The 24,546-nt window shown below is 43.8% G+C and overlaps 1 protein-coding gene across 2 annotated transcripts in view; it reads right to left on the bottom strand.

Moving 5' to 3' along the window:
• The window catches only part of CLDN10 (claudin 10), a 146,005-nt gene extending 124,288 nt beyond the window's left edge, over positions 1-21,717 (bottom strand). The window contains exon 1 of one of the 2 annotated variants that reach the window (NM_182848.4): positions 21,425-21,717. In NM_182848.4, the coding sequence (NP_878268.1) occupies positions 21,425-21,638 (214 nt within the window). In that variant the 5' untranslated portion in view covers positions 21,639-21,717. The remainder of the gene's footprint in view (positions 1-21,424) is intronic. The other variant, NM_001160100.2, reaches the window with a different exon arrangement.

Genomic DNA, 24,546 nt, shown 5'->3' with positions numbered 1-24,546 from the left:
TTTATTATAGAAAATTTGCCATTAGACAGTTTAAGTCCAATTTATATTGGTGTTTTAATTCAATCAAAAACTTCACAAAGAAATAAACCATGAACAATTCCCTTACACCTTTAAGAAGACATTAAACACCCTCTGTGGGAAAAGCCTAACAAAATCACTTTTTTGTACTTTGCACCACTGGACAGGATATGTATATATTGGCTAAACAGAATCCTGTGGCCACTGGCCAATAGGCTGCAGGAAGAGAATTTTAAAATAGTTTTTTTTTTTTTTTCTATTAGAGGCTATAGAAAATAATCCTTGACTGGGCATGGTGGCTCGCCTGTAATCCCAGTGGTGCGATCATGGCTCACTGCAGCCTCTAACCCCTGGGCTTAAGCAGTCCTCCCACCTCAGTCTCCAGAGTAGCTGGGATTACAGTTGTACTCCACCACACCCAGCTAGTTTTAAAATGCTGAGGTCTCACTACGTTGCCCAGGCTGGTCTCCAACTTGTGGCCTCAAGTGATCCTCCTCCCTTGGCCTCCCAAAGTGCTGGGATTGTAGGCATGAGCCACCACGCCCAGCCAAGATGTTGTTTTGACTGGACTTGCAGGCTTGTGACTCAAACTTGATTGTAAAGGGGTGGAAATAGGCACCACACCTCCCCCAAAATATTCATTTGCATTTAAAAACCAGAAGCTGCCTATAAAGTGGGACAGCATCTTTGCCCTCAGTATATCCTCAGATTCATGAATTTTCATAGGAGTCAAGAAGTTTTCTGAAAGGGCCCAGGACCCTGACAAGGATCCCACACCCCTCCCTTCATCCTTCCACACTCACACCTCATCCCCTCTACTGCCTCTCCACTAATCTTCTGTGACAAGGCTGGAGTATAGAAAAAGGACACTTTGCTTCCCGCCCTGCAATCCACAACCCCACAGCAGGGTGGGGAGAGAGGGGAGGGGAGCCTGCACCAGTGGTTCTGTCTCAGCATCAGGCTTGCTTTTCCTTCCTTTCCTTCCTTCCTTCCCTTCCTTCCTCTCTCTCTCTCTTTCAATTTTGAGACAGTCTTGCTCACCCAGGCTGGAGTGCAGTGGGGCAATCTCACTGCAACCTCCACCTCCCAGGTTCAAGTGATTCTTCTGCCTCAGCCTCCCAAGTAGCTGAGATTACAGGCATGCACTACTACACCTGGCTACTTTTTGTATTTTTTAGCAGAGATGGGATTTCACCACATTGGCTAGGCTAGTCTTGAACTCCTGACCTCAGGTGATCCACCCGCCTCAGCCTCCCAAAGTGCTGGGATTACAGGTGTGAGCCACCTTTCCTGGCCTGGCCTTCTTTCAATGGCTGGGGAGAAGTGCAGCCCTGGCCCAGTGGACACCTGCACTCAAATTATCCTGACTTGGTCAACCTGGTTGCGGGTAGATCTTCTGGCAAACACTTGTCCGAAGATAAATTGAAATTGTTACCACGCTTGGGACCCTTGGAGGGTAAGAAAGAGAGAAGGTAGATTCAGGGCTGTCAGAAGCCAGCATAGGGGAATGAGATTGATGAGCAATGTTGGCACTAGATCCCGAACTCCCAACCTCAGGTGATCCGCCCGCCTTGGCCTCCCAGAGTGCTGGGATTACAGGTGTAAGCCACCGTGCCCAGCGAGGCACTAGAATCTCAAGTGGGAAGAGCTCATACACAGAAATGTTACTGGGACAGCCATGCCTATGGACCTTTCCTAGAAGCAGTGTTAGCATAAAACACGTAGTTTTTAATCTCTGTGCTTGCTCTTTTTTTTTTTTCTTTTTCTTTTTGAGATGGATCTCACTCTGCTGCCCAGGCTGAAGTGCAGTGGTGCAATCTTAGCTCACTGCAATCTCCACTTCCTGGGTTCAAGTGAGTCTCCTGCCTGAGCCTCCCTAGTAACTGGGTTTACAGGCATGTGCCACCATAACCCGCTAAGTTTTTGTATTTTTAGTAGAGATGGGGTTTCTCCATGTTGGCCAGGCTGGTCTGGAACTCCTGACTTCAGGTGATCCACCTGCCTCAGCCTCCCAAAGTGCTGGGATTACAGGCTTGAGCCACCAGCCCAGCCTCTGTGCTTGTTTATTTAGAGGTAAGGCTAATGGAGTTTGAGACTGGTGGGTGAGGTTGTTGGTGGAATGAGAGCCCAGCCCAGTCCTGCTGACAAGATAGTGGGTTCTCCCGACAGACAAGAGCAGGTAGGAGAAGAGGAGATAATTACAAATATTGATAGGGAAGAGATGTTTAGGGAGGGGACTCCTGGAAAAGTTTGGAGTTTCTGCCTAGATTTCATGTGAATTGGGACATAAATGTAAAGATAATAGCATTTGTTCCCATAGGTTGGTATAGTACAGACAATAACTTTTACAAAAATAAAACTTAAAAACAAAACAAAACAAAACCAAAAACCATTGCATGCTGATTAAGGGAAGAATCAAAGTTTATAAATAGGAAGGCAAGACCTGTACATTGAAGTTAATAATAAAAGGTAATTACAAGTATTTTAAGAAACACAATATTTGCAATGTTTGAGTTGGGGAGTGTGTGTATGGTTGGAGTCAGAGGAAGTAACAGAAAGTCCTGACAGGAAAAATAATTCAGATAGGAAATAATTTATTGTTAGAAAATTATTTCCACTTCTCATCTTAACCATTTGAGTCAAAGGAAAATAAAGTAAGATACATGAAAGAACAACTATTTCCAAACCAATCACCCTCAGCACGTTTTATAAAAGAGATAACCCAAATGGTACCAGGCTATCTCGAGAAGGTTATGGCTCATAATTTAGTCTGCTCTCAGTGAATGGTACTTTATGTTTACCTTGCACTTTTACTAAGTTGCTCATAACATTCAGAAACTGGAGCCCTCATAGAAATGTCCACACGACCCAGTCACTTTTCTGAATCCAGCAGCTGAGGAGCTGGAAAGTTCTTTTTCTGCTGACTGTGGTCATGCATGACTGGATAATTTATGGGCAAGACCAACAACCACATCCATATCTCAAATTCATTAATAATCGAGAGAGGGACTCAGCCCAGAATCACTCAGAGGGTGAGTCCTCAGGGAAGGAATCTGTTCAAATAATCAGAGCCTTTTTAAAAATAAAAATAATAATAAATTATGATTTTTCTCAGCAGTACCTTTCCAATACAGGGAGGGCTGTTTCTTACTACCCAAAGGGAACATTTTGAAGGGTGCCTGAGATTTTTCATGTGAATATCTATATGAAAGGACCAGACATGATCATAGAATGAAGGAAAACGTGAGCAGCGAGAAAATTAGGGGTTAAGAAAATGTCCCAAATTTCAAAAGGGTATGTTTCGGAAATTGCCATTGATAACAATTGGTAGCTTTGATAATAGCATTGATAGCTTGGTAGCAAATGATAGGAAAATTCCAGAATAGATCATTAAAGAGATGGTGTTTGAACCTTAGAGATAAAAGGGGCTCCTGTTGAGAACCAGGGTGAGCCGCTAAGAGCAAGAGATGTGTATTAAATACTTTCTCTTTTGAAAAGTGTGCCAGGATGCTTTGCAACATCTATCACACTGTGCTTTGGACAAGAAGGTTGAAGTTGGGCTGATAACCATTCCAATAGACTTGCTAACGGCACCAAGGAAGGTGAACCTGGAAAGTCTCCATGCCCTGTGGTCTGCTCCTTGCTCTCACTCATTCAACTCAACAAATGGTTCTGCAGTAACTCAACATACATGAATACAGCCTGGATTTTATGCAGGGTGCTCTTCCAGGCAAGGGATAGAAAGAAGTTGTTGGATCCCTGTCTTCATAAGGCTTATAATGCAGTGGTGGCAAAGGGCAAGTGCACAAGTAACCACAATGCAAGGCAGAGTAGCAAAGCCACAAGAAAAGAAGTACCAGCTGTGCATGGAGGCTTGCACCTGTAGTCCCAGCTACTAGGGAGGCCGAGGCAGGAGGATAGCTTGAGCCCAGGAGTTGGAGGCTGCTGTGAGCTATGACTGTGCCACTGTACCCTAGCCTGGGTGACAGAGCGAGACCATATCTCTAAAAACAAAACAGAAGTACCAAGTGCCAGGGAGACCTATGAAGACAAAAGTCCCTTCTAGCTAGAAGATTAAAAAGGCTTTGAATAACAAATGGCATTGGAGGTGGAGTTTGAAGGAAGAGAGAGATGCGGAGTGATGAAAGAAGGTGTGTGCCCCAAATGGCATGAGCAGAAGCACAGAGAAGGGAGAAGTTAATCTCAAAGTCCAGTTCGATTGAAGCAGGAGGACTGAAAAGGACAGTCAGGACTGTTTTGATGCATTCTTCCTGCCGGGGATTGGCCATTTCTGAGAGTCCTTGATGGATAAGTGATAGGACTTTAGGACTCAAGAATTATACAGTCTCACATTTGCATCCTGCCATGGCCACTACCTTAGCCATGACACTGAGCAAGTTATGGCCCTTCTCCAAGCTCTGTGTAGTTACCTCACCTGCAAAACGGGCATGGGTAAAGCTCCTAGCACAAGAGGTCACTCTGGGAACCAAGTGAGGTGATAGTTACAGTGGTGCATGCACAGAGTAAATGCTCTCAACGCAGCTGAACAGAGCCCAGGAACTGGAGGAAGCTCTGCCTTTGGGGGTTTCATCTGTAGCCTTGATTCGAGCAAGTAGAACAGTGAATATGTTTCTTTTTACTATTTGATCACAATCTAAACTCAGCAGGGAGAGCCTAGATGCTGAGCCCAGGTAGACGATAACCTGAGCCAGAGACAGAGCAAAGCTCCCTCCAGGGAGAATGGGAGGGGTGAGCATCAGATTTGACAGGACTTTGCATTGGCTGGGCGTGCAGTCTGAAGAAGCAGCAGATGGGCCTTATGTGCTGCGGATGTCTAACCTGGGTGACCAGCTGAATGGAGTAGCAGGAAAATCAGAGCGGACTGTGAGGAAGACACATGGCAAAGAACATGGAATTCAAAAGGAGGAAGCTTGGCGAAAGCCTGGGATCAGCGCTGTGGGAAAAGAGAGGAAGAGAGAAATGTGCTGCCACCCTACTGGATTCAGACATCTCAGAGCAACACGAGAAAAAGAGGGAAGGGCTCTTAATCCCTGCAGGATTCTCACAGAGACCTCCAGGGAATGTGCAGAAGGTTTTTAGGTGATGCCAAACTGGGAGATTAGCTAACACAAACACAACAAAGTCTGGTTTCAAAGCAGTCTTGAAAAGCCAGAATTGTGAGTTGGAGCAAACAACAAAAGCTAACTCATATATTAACTTTCATATAAGGAAGATTCTGTTATTATCTTCATTTTACAGATAAGAAAACTGACACACAAGGCCAGGTGCAGTAGCTCATGCCTGTAATCCCAGCACTTTGGAAGGCCAAGGTGGGAGAATTGCTTCAGGCCAGGAGTTCAAGACCTACCTGGGCAACATAGGGAGAACCCTGTCTCTACAAAAAAATTTTAAGGCCGGGCGTGGTGGCTCACGCCTGTAATCCCAGCACTTTGGGAGGCCGAGCAGGCGGATCACAAGGTCAGGGGATTGAGACCATCCTGGCTAACACGGTGAAACCCCGTCTCTACTAAAAATACAAAAAATCAGCCGGGCGTGGTGGCGGGCGCCTGTAGTCCCAGCTACTCGGGAGGCTGAGGCAGGGGAATGGCGTGAACCCGGGAGGCGGAGCTTGCAGTGAGCGGAGGTTGTGCCACTGCACTCCAGCCTGGGAGACAGAGCAAGATTCTGCCTCAAAAAGAAAAAAAAAAAAAAAATTTAAAAATTAGCTAGCATGGTGGTGTGCACCTATAGTCCCAGCTACTCAGAGGCTAAAGTAGGAGGATTCCTAGAGCCCAGGAGTTCAATGTTACAGTGAGCTATGATCACACCACTGCACGCCAGCCTAGATGCCAGAGCAGGACCCTGTCTCTAAAAAATAAAACAACAAAAAAAGAAAACTGAGTGGCAGGGCACAGTGGCTTATGCCTGTAATCCCAGCACTTTAGGAGGCTGAGGTGGGAGGATCACTTGAGGTCAGGAGTTCGAGACCAGTCTGGCCAACATGGTGAAACCCCATCTCTACTAAAAATACAAAATTAGCTGGGTGTGGTGGTGCATGCCTGTAATTCCAGCTACTCGGGAGGCTGAGGCAGAAGAATCACTTGAACCTGGGAGATGAAGTTTGCAGTGAGCCGAGGTTGCGCCACTGCACTCCAGCCTGGGCAACAGAGCGAGATTCTGTTTCGAAAAAAAATAAAAATAAAAAACTGAAACACAGACAGAGTTTAAGTCACTAGGTCGGTAGTAAAGCTAGTAGCAGCAGTCCTGGGATTCCAACAGGACATCAGGCTTTGAGGTCTGTGATCTGGAAGGAATGGAGGAGGGAAATGGATCATTATGGAGTATTTACAATTTGCCAGACTCCAAGCTGGGAGACCTGGAAGGAAGTAAGGTGATTTAGAGTATGGCTTAGTGGAACGGGGCACGGTGGTTCATGCCTATAATCTCAGCACTTTGGGAAGCCGAGGGAGGCAGGTTACTTGAGGTCAGGAGTTCAGGACAAGCCTGGCCAGCATGGTGAAACCCCATCTGTAGTAAAAATACAAAAATAGCTGGGCGTGGTGGCATGCGCCTATAATCCCAGCTACTTGGGAGGCTGAGGACCGAGAATCACTTGAACCTGGGAGGTGGAGGCTGCAGTGAGCCGAGATCGTGCCACTGAACTCCAAACTGGGCGAGAGAGAGAGAGAATCTGCCTCAAAATAAAATAAAATAAAATAAAATAAAATAAAATACTATGGCTTAGTGGACAAAGATGATGATGTGATGGAACGTCACTTCTAGGTGCCCCCATAGGCCTATGAGAGGCATCTGGGGAGGCAGGAGCTAACTTTTCTGTGCTGACCCCTGCCCCAATATGAATGACTTCTGAGCATGGTGTGGGTAAGCAGCCATCCCCAGCTCTTTCTGTCCAGGGGGGTCACATTCCTCACTGTCTGTGAAAATCTTGGTCTCTAAGTCTTTCTTTCCCTCCGATGACTATGCGTGTGACATGTATGAGGTGTCTGCAAGGTGCATGGTGTATGTGTATGTAGGTAGTTATGTGTGGAGCTTGCATTGTTGTATTTGGGTCAATGGGTGTATATGTGTGTGGGGTGCCTGCCTGTATGGTGAATGCACATCTGTGTGTGCCTGTGTGTATGATTGCATGGCAAATGGCTGGCTATGTTTGTGTATGTGTGTGTTGCCCACATGTATGTGTGATGTGTATGTGCTGACTGTATGGTGAGTGTGTATTTTTCTGTGTGTGTGTGTAGTGTGTTGAGGTGTCTGCGTGATAAGAGATTGTGTGTATGAGTAGTTAGCTGTAGAACCTGCCTGGTGTATGCGTGTGCATGTGTGTGCCTGTGTGGTGTGGGCAGTCTAGTTTAAGTTTATTTCATAATCCTGGATGGAACTGGAGCAAAAGCTGGGTAGCTTAGCACCTGTGCAATGGCAGATCACCCCCACCTCTCGCCGCAGGCACAGGAAGCAGAGGCAGAAAGAGCCTGGCAAGGGAGAGGCGGCATAGCTGCACCCCCGCAGGGCAGCTTTGATGCTGCAGGTGGGAGGGGAAGACTCCTGGGGAGGACACTCTTTCTCGGGCTCCACACCTGCTGTCACGGACACCCCAGACTTGAAGCTGGAATAGAGGGAGCCACTAGGATAACATGCATATTTTTCCAGATGAAAAAATGGATACACACACACACACACACACACACACACACACGCATGTGCACTCCCCCTTCTCGTTTTCCCCCAAATTCTCACAGCTAGGAGCCATGCTTTGACAGTTCTTCCCAAGGTGTGGGGTGAGAGAAAGCAAGTCCTGGTGAAGGAGCTGAAGCAGGGAGGCAAAGGAGAGGCCCTGGGGATCAGGCAGATCAATAGCGTCCAGAACATAATGTTTAGGACAGGCACTGGGTCAGAACTGAGCCACCAGGCATGCTGGATTTAGGGTATGGGACCGTCGTAAGACAGATCTACCACCTGGAACCAGACATCAGCCGCGAGGAAAAAAGTGAGAGGTCTGCGGTCCAGGTTTAAACAGGAGAGTGGGCAGCAGCTGACCACCAGGAGCTGGAAGGCTGAGCAAAGTGGCACAAACACAGAACCAGGCGCCGCGTCAAGGAAGGACCTCGGCCACTGCAGTAGAATCAGTTTAGTGGGGACGTTTGTAGGAGTCCTCCAGAGCAGGCTAAAATCCCCTCATATGACTGGCTCAAGACTTGCCGGTGGAAATAAAGGAGAACATATGGCCGTAGTAAGATAAGAAGAAAATTGTCTTCCATTTTCCCCTGCCCACCTCACAAATGTCCACATTCTGTGTTCTGGAGAAAATCAGCCTCCCAGTAGGATGGCGGGTCGTTTTTATGCATGGACTATATTTGGTGCGTATAAACTAGAAATATCAACCCAAGGAAATTTAGTTAAAGGCAGGACTCGTTCTCTTGTATCCCCCTGCCCCCGCCATCACTCGGCTCTGTGCCTGGATTTAGAAGTAGTAGTCCGTTCTCCCAGAAAAGGTTAGATGGCATACACTGTGGGCTTCTTAGGACCCTTCCAGATATCAATTAGAGATGGAGAGCTATGTGTTTCTTATATTAATTATATTAATTCTTTTTTTTTTTGAGACAGAGTCTCACTCTGTTGCCCAGGCTGGAGTGCAGTGGCACAATCTCGGTTCACTGCAACCTCTACCTCCTGGGTTCAAGCGATTCTCCTGCCTCAGCCTCCCAAATAGCTGGAATTACAGGTGCCTGCTTCCACACCCAGCTAATTTTTGTATTTTTAGTAGAGGTGGAGTTTTGCCATGTTGGCCAGGCTAGTCTCAGACTCCTGACCTCAGGTGATCCTCCCGCCTTGGCCTCCCAAAGTGTTGGGATTACAGGCGTGAGCCACTGCGTCCAACCTTCTTATATTAATTCTAACATTGATTAACATATAGGTTTAAATAGAATGTCATTAACATAACATATATAACATTTACTGCTTCAATTCATGATCCCTTCTAGGCTATGAACATCTAAGGGCAGAGATGAGGTATTTTTATTGCCGTATTCCAAGTTATCTAGCACAGAGCTTGGCAGTTGTTCAAAACTATTGAAGTCAATATGCAAATCAAAGACATAGATTTTTAAATATTTGTGTTTATTTGCACATGTGCACAGAATCTCAGACCTCTCATACTGGAAACTGCTTGAGAGACTGCCTCATCTATCTTCCCAGCCAGTGCAGGAAGGGGTTCTACAGCCTCTTAGCAGAACCCCCTCGACCTCCTCTGGGAACTTCTAGCCAGGTCTCTGTGAGACAGCCTGTCCCATTGCGGAGCAACTCTGATAGAAATGACTTCTTCCAAGTGATCCTAAACCGGACTCTCTAGTAACATCTACCCAATATCTTCTCCCACTCTGTGCCCTATATATTTTTTTTCCATTTCTTCCAGGTGAAACAAATGGCCATGTGAAGTGATTTCAAAACCTCTCATCCTCCTAGTCACCCTCCTCTAGAATCAATGAATTGGTTTATGTTCATGTCCCTTAAAATATACGGTGTGCAAGACTAGAACTATGCAATTTGACTACAAAGTAGTTGGGGACTATTACCCATCTAACTTTGTTATTCCTGTGCCGCTAATGTCACCTACAATTGCATTAATCTTTGTAGCTGTCACATTTTCCTCTTGTATTAGACATCTAAAGAGCACAGCTAAAAAAAAATTAAACTCGGTCAAACTAATCTGTCTCACTCTCTACAATTGGTGTTTCAAGGCCAAACCCCATTAAGTTAAGAAACTGACTGACTGAGATCTTGGTACGTATTGGAAAACACCATACTAGGAGAAGGAACTAGAGGTTACGTTGGGACCAGCTTTCTCTATCCCACTGCCCATCAAGTTTCCTGGCAGAAATCCTTGGAGACATCCTTGACCCCTCTCATTCCTCATAAGTCACCAAGACTCAACAATTCTGCCTCAAAATATCTTTCTTTGTATTCCTGCTGCTATGCTCTTTGCTCAGATTCTAACACAAAATACTGCAGGGTCTTTGTTAAGTGTAAGCCCCATGGGTATTCTCTGCTTAAAATGTTTCAATAGCTTTCAGCTTCTTCCAGACAAAGTCTGGATCCCTTTGTAGGGCTTAAAGGTCCCTTTGGGAGCTTTTGTTATCGACGTCTGCAGCCAGATATTCTCCCCCGCTCTGTGCACATCTTAGGTGTCAGCCATTCCAATTATGTGCTTCCTGTTCCTGCATGCACTTGCCTTCCTCCTGCTTTTTAGGTCTTTCTTGTATGTCCCAGGCATTGCTCTAGATGCTGTATGCAAATTCATGCATTCAGTCGTCACCATCATCCTCTGAAGTAGATAACATTTCCATTTAACAGATGGGAGTGCTCAGGCCAGGCGTGGCGGCTCCTGCCTGTAATCCCAGCACTTTGGGAGGCTGAGGCAGGTGGATCACCTGAGGTCAGGAGTTCGAGACCAGCCTGGCCAACATGGTAAAACGCTGTCTCTACTAAAAATACAAAAATTAGCCAGGAATGGTGATGCACATCTGTGCTGAGGCACGAGAATCACTTGAACCCTGGAGGAGCAGGTGGTAGTGAGCCGAGATAGCACCACTGCACTCCAGCCTGTGTGACAGAGTGAGACTCTGTAAAAACACCACCACCAACAACAAAACAAAACAAACAAAAAACAATGAAAACAAAACTAAACAAAAACAAAAAATAGATGAGGGAGCTCAAATGTCAGGCATTCTTCTCAGAAACATGCAGTTAATAATTTTTGGGTTGGATGAGTCCCTTAGCCTAAAATGCCCTCCTTTCCTTGGCAAACTTCTTGTGAAACTTCGCCCATCTTTCAAGACAGTTCAAGCCTCAGCTCTTTGAGAAGTCAGTGTCCCCCTGAACTTAACCGTCCAATAACATTTAGCATTCTGGGCTAATTGCCAAATGGTTGCTTTACTCCCAACAGCATGTATCTGAAGAACTGCCCCTGTCCTGTTCCTCCCTGAGTCCTCAGAGCCTATATTCTGCACCAGGAATCTGCTGAATGATTTGCCAAATTATTAACCTTTGGTAATCAATTTTTCCTGCAATGCACACAAAAATCTGGCAAAAGCTTAATTGTAGACCTGCTGCCTTCTGCAATTCAAGCCAATTATCCCAAGTTCATTTAGGAGCAGTGGCGCTTTCTATAATGTACATTACCTAAACATGCACAAGGGCAGGAAGGTTTTAAATGACTAAGCCCAGCACACCATTTGCTCAGAAGATGTTCCTCACTACATCTCCTTTAGGATGCAATTTAGTCTGTGAGGCGCGAGGAAAGCTGTGCGGTGGAGACAGCCAGATGGGCAATGAGCAGGGAGAGGAGCTATGAACCTTGTGAGAGATAAACCTGAACCTTTTCTACACTACATGTTCACCAGGAGAAAATCAGATAAGTATGAAGTCTTAAAGGAGTAGGGGACAGCAAAATCCATGCCTTGCTGTCCCACAGTCCAAACACCACCAAGGGCTCTGGCATCTATGCTGTATTAACTCTGTTTTCTTGTTTTCTGTATTCTCCATGCTCTGGCACTTGGGGCCTTGCTGACTTGGGGGAAACTGCTCCTCCAACCCGAGGGCTAGCCAGTTATTACAGATAGCAAATGACCCCCCACAAGCACATCTTTCATAAGCAAACCAACCAGCCCAAAGACCACACCCCCAACTACCTCCTTTCCCAAGTGTTTACCCATTAAGCAGATATTTCCCTGCCCTAATCACCCCAGGGTGGCAACCAGACAACTTGGGGCTCCTACACTCCAAAGCCTGCTGAAAGTATTAAAATGAGCCAATCCTAAACCTGCTTAGTTTTCCCAGCCTGGCTTATTCCTTCCCACAAAAATCACAAGGACTCAGGAACATGGTTTCCCACCCAGCTCCTGAATGACCGTGGTTCTTCCCTGCGTGGTCTCGCGTGCCATGCCATGTCTCCCGCTTCTCGGGATCGACGAGTATAAAACTTCTTTCCTGACAGTTATTTCCATGTCTGTGCATCTTACCACACCCGATTAAAACAAATCCCCAGTTCATTTTAAACACAGGTTAGTCTACGTCATACAATAAGATTCTTTTCCTTGACCTTCCCCACCAGCTTTTGAAGCATGTAACTAGACATCATCATTGTCAACAACATCATTATCATCGTTATCCTACAGCTAAGAAAGGGAAACAAGGGCAAATGCCAGGGATTCACCTAAGGTCCACAAAACATGGCCAAGCTGGGACTTAAACACAAATTTGGGAGCTAGCACCAAATGCTGGCCATTTCCCCAAAAAGATTTGCAGAAGCCCATAGGAAGTTAGAAATATGGTCCCCAGTGAACCTCAGCTGCTTTATATATAAAATGGAGACTTTAGAGTATCAGTCTTCTGGAGAACTATGACAATGTATGTGAAAGCACTTCGTAAAACACACTGTATACATTCATTTAAAAACCAGTGACCTTATGCTACATGGTTAAAGTCATCAATGAATAACATGACGGCTAACTTATGATTGTGACAGCTGCTCATGATGTAAAGCGTTTTACATTATCATTTCATTTAACCCTGACAACAACCCTATGAGTTGATTCGTATTATTACCTCCATTTGCAAATGAGAAGATTGAGTCTATGAGAAGTTAAGTAATGTGCTCGAGTTTGCATCGTTAGCTCTATGTGGAGCTATGATTCAAACCCATATATTAAACTGTCTGTCCCAAAGTTTTTCCCTGCCCTCAGAACTAAGAATACTCAAGTAAACATTTGCTCTTTTTGGCTGCCCGGCATACCAAACACACCCTGAGCTTGTAGGAGCCCTGCCTTCCCCTGTGGAGCCCAAAGGGGGCCTTTTCTCCCCATTCCAAGCTATTAGAACGTGTGATTGACTCAAGGAATAGATCCACATCTTTAATGAGTAACTGACATCGAAATGCAAGGTGGTCTTGCCTTATACAAAATAGCAAATCCTAAGTGCAAACTATAGTCCAATATCCTTCACATCATGAGCACAATATCCTTTACATCATGAAAAATATGACAAGACACGCAGCAAAGGAGCAAAGGCATGCTTCTATCAGGCTTTGCATTCTAAGAGGCAGCTACTGCAGTCCTGGTTGGAAACAAATGGGTAGAGCAGAGTAATAGCCACCTTCCTACAGCAGAGATGTGACCTTTCAAGGCACTGAAAGAGGTATTCATGGACATAATCGCCACTCTTTATGGAGAGCCTTGTGTCTGGTACTACATAAGACACTTTGCCTGTGTTATTTGTTGTTTTTTGCTTTTTTGAGACAGGGTCTCACTCTGTCACCCAAGCTGGAGTGAAATGGCTCAATCACAGCTCACTGCAGCCTTGACCTCCCTGGCTCAGGTGATCCTTCCACCTCAGCCTCCTGAGTAGCTGGGACTATAGGTGCCCACCATCATGGCCACCTAATTTTTGTACTTTTTGTAGAGACGGGGTTTCACCATGTTGCCCAGGCTGGTCTCAAACTTCTGCGCTCAAGCGATCCACCTGGCTTGTCTCCCAAAGTGCTAGGATTACAGGCATGAGCCACCATGCCTGGCCATATGTGTCTTCTTTAATCACCATTTAACAGGAAAGAACACTGAAGCTCAGAGGGATTAAGACCCTTTAGTAAATGTTGGGTCCATCACATTCCTAAGGCCAAACTCCAGGCAAAGATTTCTCAAACATTTAATGTGCATAGAAGACACCTGGAGAGCTTATAAAATTGCAGATTCTGATTCAATAGGTCTGTAGTGGGGCCTGAGATTCTGCATTTCAAGCAAGCTCCCAGGAGATATAGATGCTGCTGGCTGGTGGATCACATTTCAAGAAGCAATACTCTAAATGTTTGTGCTTTTTAGATACCATCATAAAAAATATTCATGGCAGGCCAGGTGTGGTGGCTCATGCTTATAATCCCAGCACTTTGGGAGGCTGAGACAGGATTGCTTGAAGCCAGGAGTTTGAGATAAACTTGGGCAACACAGTGAGATTCCCGTCTCCACAAAGAGATGAAAATTAGCCGGATGGTTGGCATGCACCTGTAGTCCCAGCTACTCAGGACGATGAGATGGGAGGATTGCTTAAACCCAGGAGGTCAAGCTGTGATCACGCCACTGCACCCCAGCCTGGGAGACAGAGCAAGACCCTGTCTCAAAAAGGAAAGAAAAGACCACAAAAACAAATCCATGGCTCTTTTACTTGTTCTAAACACTTCCCTAGGACTTTCTCCCTTTTCTAGAACTTGGTGACATGAGAAGAGATTCCCTCTGCAATACAAATGTCAGAATTTAACTCAATGAACAATTTCTCCTTCCGTTTATTCAATCCACACAACTTCGTTGAGTGCCTTCTAAGCCAGACACAGCAGTAGGTACGGGGGAGACCAGGATAAATGAGATAAGGTCCTGGCCCCTAAAAGAGGAACTATGGATGAAGACAGGATGTCTTAAAAAGTTTCTGATGCTTCCATGAAAGAACAGCCTGCAGCACACTGCTTTAGGATCCCCAGTCCAGTCGTCCGCTGCTATGGCAATTGAGGTCATTCTGACCGCTCCAGCGCCATCTTCACCACTGTAAGGCTAGGGCACTTTTCAGCATTGTGCCTTCTTCCAACCATATTGATACAGAGACAATTATACAGTGGCTCAACCTGTCTAGATTCTACTGCGAAAGTCCAATTCACCTACCTTGGGTTATGACTGTGTCAGTACACATATAATATTATGCCTCTGTTTGTTGGAACAGGAACATGTCGAATGCTTCTTGGACTTCACCCAGGCTGGAATGCAGCTGTGCAATATCAGCTCACTGCAGTCTCAATCTCCCCAGTTGAAGCAATCCTCTCACCTCAGCCTCCCAAGTAGTTGGAACTACAGGCATGTGCTGCCATGCTTGGCTATTTTTAAATTTTTTTGTAGGGACAAGGTCTCCCTGTGTTGCCCAGGCTGGTCTTGAACTCCTTGGCTCAAGTGACCCTCCTGCTTCAGCCTCCCCAAGTGCTGGGACTATAAGCATGAGCCACTACTCCCAGTCTCTGTATACTTTTAAATAATTTTATATGCATTTGGGACATAGCATAAAAACTAATCTGAAATTAAATTTAACCTTAAGTTTATTTAATGAAACTTAGTTTCAGAAAGCAGCATCAGGATCTTAGAGAATGGAAAGGTAAGTGTTATCCAAGGGTGCAGCTATCTGTTAAAAGTATTAATATTGGCCAGGCATGGTGGCTCACGCCTGTAATCCCAGCACTTTGGGAAGCTGAGGTGGGTGGATCACGAGGTCAGGAGTTTGAGACCAGCCTGGCCAACATAGTGAAACCGCACCTCTACTAAAAATACAAAAATTAGCCAGGCATGGTGGCGCGAGCCTGTAGTCTCAGCTACTTGGGAGGCTGAGGCAGGAGAATCGCTTGAACCTGGGAGGCGGAGGTTGTGGTGAGTTGGGATCACGCCACTGCACTCCAGCCTGGGCAACAGAGCGAGACTTTGTCTCAAAAAAAAAAAAGGGTTAATATTTTGGAGGCATCTAACTTACTAATTTTCCCTCATTGACATGGTAATTTGTTTTCATTTATTCATTATTGTTGTTTGGTATTTATTTACTATTATTATTTAATCACGGACTAAGGCACTGCTATGTTGTGACTCTTTGTGTGCCCCTAAATTTATATGTGGAAATCATAACCCCCAAAATAATGGTATTAGTAGGTGGAGCCCTTTGGGAGGTGATTAGGTCAGGAAGGCAGAGCCCTCATGAATAGGATTAGTGCTGTTATAAAAGAGGCCCCAGAGGCTGGGCATGGTGGCTCATGCGTGTAATCCCAGCATTTTGGGAGGCTGAGGCAGGCAGATCACTTGAGGACAGGATTTTGAGACCAACCTGGACAACCCAGCAAAACTCTGTCTCTATTAAAAATACAGAAATTAGCTGGGTGTGCTGGTGGGTGCCTGTAGTCCCCGCTACTTGGGAGGCAGAAGCAGGAGAATCGCTTAACCTGGGAGGCAGAGGTTGAGATTGCACTACTGCACTCCAACCTGGGCAATAGAACAAGACTCAGTCTCAAAAAAAAAAATAATAATAACATAAAAAAGAGGCCTCAGAGAGCTGCCTTGCCCCTTCCACCATGTGAGGATGCAGTGAGAAGGTGCCGTCTATGGGCCCTCACCACGCACTGAATCTGCCAGTGTCTCGATTTAGGACTTCACAGCCTCCAGAACTATGAGAAATAAGTTTCTGATGTTGGTGAATTACCCAGTTTATGGTATTTTGTTATTGCAGCCTGAGTGGACTAACACAGGCATACATTCCAACTAGCAAGAAGTCTAAATTGATGACATCAGATGGCTCCCAGCTGTTCCCTAGATGTGAATAAACCCCCACAGAAAACCCTCTTTCTCTAGCAAGTGCTATTCCTTTACCCTCCGCTTTTTTTTTTTTTTTTTTTTTTTGCGATGGAGTCTTGCTCTGTCACCCAGGCTGGAGTGCAGCTCGATCTTGGCTCACTGCAACCTCTGCTTCCTGGGTTCAAGTGATTCTCCTTCCTCAGCCTCCCAAAGAGCGGGGACTACAGGGACCCGCCACCACGCCTGGCTAATTTTTGTATTTTCAGTAGAGACAGGATTTCGCCAAGTTGGTCAGGCTGCTCTTGAACTCCTGACCTCAGGTGATCCACCTGCCTTGGCCTCCCAAAGTGCTGGGATTACAGGCGTGAGCCACCGTGCCTGGCCTCTTTACCCCCATTTTTATGGCATGGCCAAATAAGGGAGTGGGGAGAGAGGTGAAGCATCTGGAAAGTGAGGAGAGAAGGCTCACACTGCTGCAGACAGCCAGCATCATTTGACTGCAGCTTCCAGATGCCTGTTTGGTTTCATTCCACTGAAATCCTGGCACTTTGACTTGGGTCTTGTGGTCATTTAAGGTCATTTAAACCTATCTCAACCCAGATGCTGAGAAGACTGTAAACAGTCAGGAACACAGGAAGCTGGTCAAGATAACAGATAAGGGGGAAAAAAAGGCCTTGGCAGGGCACGATGGCCCATGCCTGTAATCCCAGCACTCTGGGAGGCCTAGGCTGGAGGATCACTGGAGCCCAGGAGTTTGAGACCACCCTGGGCAACATCACAAGACCCTGTCTTTACCATGTCCAGCTAATTATGTTTATAAATAAAATTATAAACAAAATTATAATTACTTATAAGCAAAAGTAGCTGGGCATGGTGGCACGTGCCTATAGTCCCAGCTACTCAGGAGGCTGAGATGGGAGGATCACTTGGGCCCAGGAAGTCAAGGCTGAAGTGAGCCATGATCGTGCCACTGCACTCCAGCCTGGGTGACAGAGTGAGACCCTGTCTTAAAAAACAAAAATTAAAAACAGAAGAAAAGACCTTAATCCCATGAGCAACTATAACAATTATAATAGAGGATACTTTTATGGCTATAATTCTTTGGGAAACTTCTACTGCCAGGTGGCGAAGCATTGTGAAGTTCTGGAATTGAACTCTAGGTTGAAAGATACCTGAAGGAACTCTTGGAGATCTGTTCTCTTAATTTATGGATGAGGCACAGAAGATGTCATTGCTGAAGTCAAGGTCTCACAGCAAGTCATAAAGGAGCCAGAATGCAAGGCTCAGTCTGCTGAGTCATAATCCACTGACCTCCCTTTGGGTTGCCTGCGCTCATTTCCTCACTCGCTCCTCAATTCAGCACACTCCATCCTTCCTCCAGGAATACAATTTTGCCCTCATCGCGAACCATCTGTAGTCTCACTCATTATTTGGTTAATTCAGTCATTTTGCAGCTATATATCCGGAACCCAGCATGTGCCAGGGGCACGACAGGAACATGACAGATCCAGCCCCTGTCCCAAGGTGATCAGGATTTCCTTCAATCCCTCACTGCAGCCATGCTTCTTGGATTCAGTCTTCCCCCTCAGAAAGAACTGCTTTTCTCCCTACGATGAGAGATGCTTTACTTTCATAGTGAAAGCATTCCTATTAACGTAGATATGACAGAAAAACAAAACACAACAAAACGAGACCTAGCTTATGGTAGACTTAGTGTCTAAAGATAGTGAATTGGCTTTGGATTTTAATCAAGCTTTCAGGCTCCAATAAGAATTGAATTGCAGGTGTTCCTACGGTTTATTTCACAGAATGACAGTTGAAGGTGGCCTCTGTATTTTTTACTATAGCTATAAATGCTGCTCACCCAAAGAGGTGTTTGCTCACATCAAATTTTTAAGGGATGTAGTCACTATTAATCCAAATGAAGCCCTAAAAAGCTGTGGCTACACTGGAGCATTCAAGAGGGTTAGCTATGGGAAGGTATGACTCCAGCAATGAAGTTATATAATCAGCAAGAAAAAAAAAATACAACCGAGACAGCTTAGACAGATTTTCTGCTTTTCTTTCTTAGAGGAGGTTTAATCTGGCCTAAGTCTAAGAAGATTTGTCTCAAATTGACAATATAGGCTTAAATAGTTTATTATTTTAAAAGGTGATATAACCATTTTCATTCTTCATTGACTTCTGAGTTCTTTTCTCAATTTATAATTATTGTGATGTTGGAGAGATTATTGGCATAGATAGCTTTCCTGATTCCCTCATTGTTATGTTTTCAAATAGGAATAAAAGAAAAGCAACCAGCAATGACTCCATGGGAAAGGAAATCCAAATGTGTGAATCCCCGTTTTCTTTGGAAATATGAATCAGTGTTTCTGACATTGAAAACAGATTTCTGCAGCAAAGTGTATCATTTATAAAGATTTTGACTCAGGATGAAGAAGGTAGAGAGATTATATTAATTTAATTGTACTTGTTCTTAGGGAAGCATTGTCAGTGGGTGAGATTTTCAAATTACCTCCTATGTGCAGGGTATACAGGAGATAGAATAAATTATTTTTACAATCAATAAACAAAGTTAACTTTAAAAATAAAGTTTTGGCAGGCGTGGTGGCTCATGCTTATAATCCCAGCACGTTAAGAGGCCAAGGCAGTAGGATTGCTTGAGCCCAGGAGTTCAACACTAGCCTAGGTAACATAGTGAGATCTGATCTCTACAGAAACCTTTAAAAATTAGCCAAGTGTTGTGGCATGCACTTGTACTCCCAGCTACTTGGGAGGCTGAGGTGGGAGGATCACTTGAACCCGGGAGGTGGAGGTTGCAGTGAACTGAGATTGTACCACTGCACTCCAACCTTGGCAACAAAGCAAGGTTCTGTCTCAAAAACAATAAATAAAAAATAAGAAAGTGTTAAGGGTGAGAGATATCTGGACCATAATAAAATGCCTAACTCTGTGATGATGTGTTTGGGGAAGCAGCAAGTTGAAGTCATGTAAAAGGTACCATGGTTCTTTAACCCACTTTGAAGCTAAAGTTGAACACATGTTTTCCCCAATAACTGGGTTTCATTAAGAAATACAGAATGAAACATATTAAGACAATTTTCTTTTTTTTTTTTTTAAGATGAGGCCGGGCAAGGTGGCTCAGGCCTATAATCTCAGCATTTTGAGAGTCAGAGACAGGTGACTCTCTTGAGCTCAGGAGATCGAGACCAGCCTTGGCAACATAGAGAAACCCCATCTCAAAAAATATATATAATAATTGAACAAATAAAAAATGAACCCAATTAAAAACAAACAGACTTACCATATGCCATCTCTTCTACCTGATTCCTAAGGTGAAAAAGGGCCAAGAGGGGCCCCTGGAGAAAGAACGATTGTAAGAGGTGCAGAGTGACAAGAGGGTCTCCACACACACTCTTCTTTTCCTCTGTTTCTAGGGCAGTGTTCTATATTAGAAGGATCAGTGTTGAAATACCCAAAATAAGTTTAGAAATTGACCCTGAAGAGAGACATAGCATGGAGTCCTCAAATGGGTACTTAGGAAAGTCCATGTTATTTCAGGGACTAAGTGAGGCATCCACGCTTGAATATTTCTTTTGATTGTCATTAGAAATCTCCTGGATTTAGTTAAGTATTCTCTCTTTATCCCCTGGCACTCATTGTAGACTAATGATGTGCATACTTGACACAAAATCTCCTAACACATTATGCTTTAGTAACTTCCTAGTTAAAATTTTATTTCATTTTCTTTACTGGGGCCAAGGTACAGTTTTACTATTTGACTGTGAAAAGTCTATATTTTACCAAGAAACAAAGAGCAATTTTTAAAGTAATAAACCCACAATTTGTGGCAGATTTGTAAATGTATCAAATTTGCAGAAAGCAGAGGCAGATAGTAATTCTCATAATGACAGGAAAGCAAATGACAATTGTTTCCCTGAAGGCATTCTGGAGTATGAAAATGTCCTTAAAAAATATATGTTCCCTCTTTGAGATACGTACACTTGTAATAGAGTTTCTAATATGCACAACGATGAAAGCTTGCCCCATGTATTCTTAGATAAATAAAATCAGGTAACCAAAGGGGAAAGTAAACAGCATTTTCTTTCACTTAACCGCTTTCAAATTTTTCTTGCTGTTATTTTATCATTCAATATGGTTTTTTGTTTCGTTTTGTTTTATATCTAGGCTGTGACAAACATTAAAAAAAACGTGGAAACCCTTCTGAAAATAGAATTCCTTCCTTCGTTATCAGGAATCTAGGATAAAGTAGATGTAAGGAGACATACGGATTACCTTACAGGCCTTTTGGAATGCTCAGTGTGACTCCAAAGGAAAGAGTGGAAGTGGTTGGATTGTTTTAAAAGCCAGTTTGAATTTGCCATCGTTTGCCAGTTCCAATCTAGCAATGGCATATTACATATATATGTGTGTTACATATGTGTGTGCATGAATATATGTATATATATTCATATAGATACCTGTGTGGGTTATATATGTGAATGTATATATACACACATGTGTGCATATATATATACACACGTGTGCATATATATATACACACACACATATAGATACCTCTGTGTGTGTGTGTGTGTGTGTTTGTGGGTGTATATATATATAGAGAGAGAGAGACAGAGAGAGAGAGAGAGAGGAAGAGAGGGAGAGACAAGTTTAAATCAATGAGAGCATTTCCTACATAGGGGTGCTGACCCATCAAGATTCCTCCATGACTCAAGGCAAATTGAAACTGACTTTTAAAACAATCCAGTCACTTCCACTCTTCCCTTTGGAGTCACACTGGGTATTCCAAAAGCCCTGTAAGGTTATTCTTACATCTCCTTTGTCAAATAAGATAAATGTCATTCTTTCAGCCAATACTCATACACCCCATCCTTCCTAGGCAAATCTTGGCACTTTGATTAAGCACTCAGTCTTCAGAGAGTTAACAGCCAGCCATAGACAGCTACTTCAGCACAGTCGGGGGGAAAAGTACATTTTACCTCCACCCCAAACAAAGCCATTATATTTACCTGCTACTTTGAAGATAGTAAAATGCGGTCGGCAATGGAAAGAACCCAACGCGTTACCTGCGCAGTTCATCCACAGACCCTGGTAAACCCAAGTGGCTGTTATCACCGAGGAGGCTCGCGTGGTCACTTTCCACTCATTGGACGTGGTAGCAGCAACGAGAGCTCCAAACCCTCCGACACCAGACACCAGAGCCCAGATCTGCGCCCTGGACATGTCGCGCCGCCTTCTCCAGTGACACTGTCCGGTCAGAACGCTTTGGTGGTCTAGGCATGCAGCCGATAGAGAACACTTTGACAAGCGTCACAGCCAGCGGATGTGGGTAGGTGACAGCGTTTCATGCTCGGATGGCCTGAGGAAGTACAGGAATTTAGGATCAAGTATGGTTTACCAATGACATTTTAAAGATGGCCTGAAAGAGTCGTTCTGATTTTCTACACGGATATTTATTAAAATTTCGTAGACGAATTTTAAGGGTTTTGATTTCGCAGACTTTTTTTTAACTTGGCACCATAGTTAATGCTTAATTTTCTGTTAGCCTGAAGCTTAACGAACCATGCGACTACCAGATATTACAAAGTACAAATTATACAGTAACAGTTAAAGCTTATTTGACCAGTTGCTTTAGTCTCGCTTGCTTTTGAATCTTTACATAATTGAATCATATTGTAGAAATTCTCCCATAACCTATTTTTTTCATGTAACACTGTATTTGAGGGATTTATCCATGCTCAGGAATGTAGCTGTCATTCATTAAATATTACAGCTGAATATAGTATTTCATTAAATGCAATTTAACGAACATGATTTATTCATGTTCCTGGAGCTGACTGAACATTCGTGCTGTTCCGTTTTCTCCGTAATAACCATTGGCGTAGCTATAAACATTCTTGTGCATTTCTTCTTGTGCACGTGAGTGAGAGTTTCTCTAGGGCGTATCCTACAATCAGAATTTTGCTAGGGTGTAGGAAACAGTCATCTTTAACTTTATAGATAATGCTAAATTGTTTGACTAAGTAGTTATAGCAATTTAGAGTTCCACTGGCAGTGGGTAAGTCCTACGTGTTCCACTTCATAACACTTGGTATTGTGGGGTTGTCAAGATTATTATTTTTTCTTTTGGCCAGCCTGATGGGTATAAAGGTGTCACATTATGATTACTAATTTATATTTTCTGATTACTAAGGAGGTTGAGCATCTTTTTTTGTGTTTATTGGTTATGTTTTTGTCTACAGTGAAATATGCAACTTTTGCTCACTTATCTATTGAGTTGTTTGATTTTTTATAATTTATTTTTAGTTATCTATATACTCAAGATAGTAATCTTTTGTGGATTATTTATGTTGCAGGTATCTTCCCCCAGTTTGTGGTTTGTCTTTATGTGGCCATTTGAGAAAGAGTCTTGGTTTTAAGATAGCTAAATTTATCAAGTTTCACCAAGCGATTTGTGGTTTGAGATCTTGATTAAGAAATCCCTATCTTGGGCCTGGCATGATGGCTCCCAGCTGTAATCCCAGCACTTTGGGAGGCCGAGGTGGGAGGATCACTTGAGGCCAGGGGTTTGAGACTAGACTGGGCAACATATTGAGACACTGGCTCTATAAAAAATACAAAAATTAGCTGGGTGTTGTGGTGCAGGCCTGTAGTCCCAGCCAGTTGGGAGGCTGAGGTGGGAGGAGGATGCCTTGAGCCTGTGAGGTCAAGGCTTCAGTGAGCCATGATTGCGCCACACACTCCAACCCAGGTGACAGAGCTGAGATCTTGTCTCGAAAAAAAAAAAAAAAAAAACAGAAAAGAAAAAGAAATCTCTACCTAAAAAAAATAAATATTTCCCCTTTACTTCAAAAAACTTCAAAATTTTAACTTACGTATTTAAGTTTTTAAATCATCCAGATTGATTTTTCTGTGTCTTGTGATTTGGGACCTATGTTATTTTGCAATGTGGAAACCCACTTTTCCAGTTTTATTGAGTAGTCCCTTGTTTCTCTATTGATCTGCAATGTTACCTCTGTCATACATGTTGGGCATCAATATTCACATGATCTGTTTTTGGATTCTTTACTCTGCTCCATTTATCTGCTTGACTGTTCCTGGGCCAGTACAATACTTTCTTAACTCCTTTAATTTTATAAATATATCTCAAATCTTATTGGTGAGTGTTTTACCTTGCTTATCTTGCTCTTCTTTTTCAAGAATGTTCGGATTTTTTTTTTTTTTAGCTCTTGGCTATTTCTTATATAATTTATTTTATTTTATTTTATTTATTTCAAGACAAAGTCTCATTCTGTTGCCCAGGCTGGAGTGCAATGGCGCGATCTCAGCTGACTGCAACCTCCGCCTCCCAGGTTCAAGTGATTCTTGTGCCTCAGCCTCCGGAGTAGCTAGGACTATAGGCGCCCACCACCACACCCTGCTAATTTTTGTATTTTAGTAGAGACAGGGTTTCACCATGTTGACCAGGCTGGTCTCAAACTCCTGACCTCAGGTGATCCACCTGCCTAGGCCTCCCAAAGTGCTAGGATTACAGGCATGAGCCACTGTGCCCAGCCCTTATATGTTTTAGAATCAGTTTATCAAATTAGACACATACACATACATATAGATTGGGAGGTTTGCTGGAATTGTTTTGCAGCTATTTATTCAGTTTGAGGAAAATGGATAGCTTTATAAAATCAAGTCTTCCTGTTCATGAACGTCGTTATATCTCTTCATTTATTTAACCCATCTTTAATGCTTTTAGTGACATTCTTTAATCTCTAAAAATAGTTACTTTTTTGTTATATTTATTCTTAAAGTTAGGACTCATTCTAACATCTATTTTGTACTTAGTTTGTCCAGTTTTTTTCTTGATTATATGTAGGGAGACCCCCTGAAACTATTGCTATGGAATAAAAGATGAAATGCTCCTGATTATTGTAAATACAAAATTGCATGCAGGATTGTGTAAAGACAATGCCAGGTCGGACTGCCAGAACGAGCCAACAGCGCGTGATGTGCTTCCCCCTGCAGAGAGCCTATGAATGGACGTGCAGTCAGGGAGGTTTCACATCACCAAGATTCCTATCCCAGAAAAGCAGATGTTCATAGCTCTGGGAATGGAATGCGACCCTTGTGGGGAGCCTAT

The sequence above is a fragment of the Homo sapiens genome, chromosome 13 (assembly GCF_000001405.40).
Source record: "Homo sapiens chromosome 13, GRCh38.p14 Primary Assembly".
NCBI lineage: Eukaryota > Metazoa > Chordata > Mammalia > Primates > Hominidae > Homo > Homo sapiens.
The sequence above is the reverse complement of the archived record's forward strand: the minus strand, read 5'-3'. Positions and strand labels throughout refer to the sequence as shown.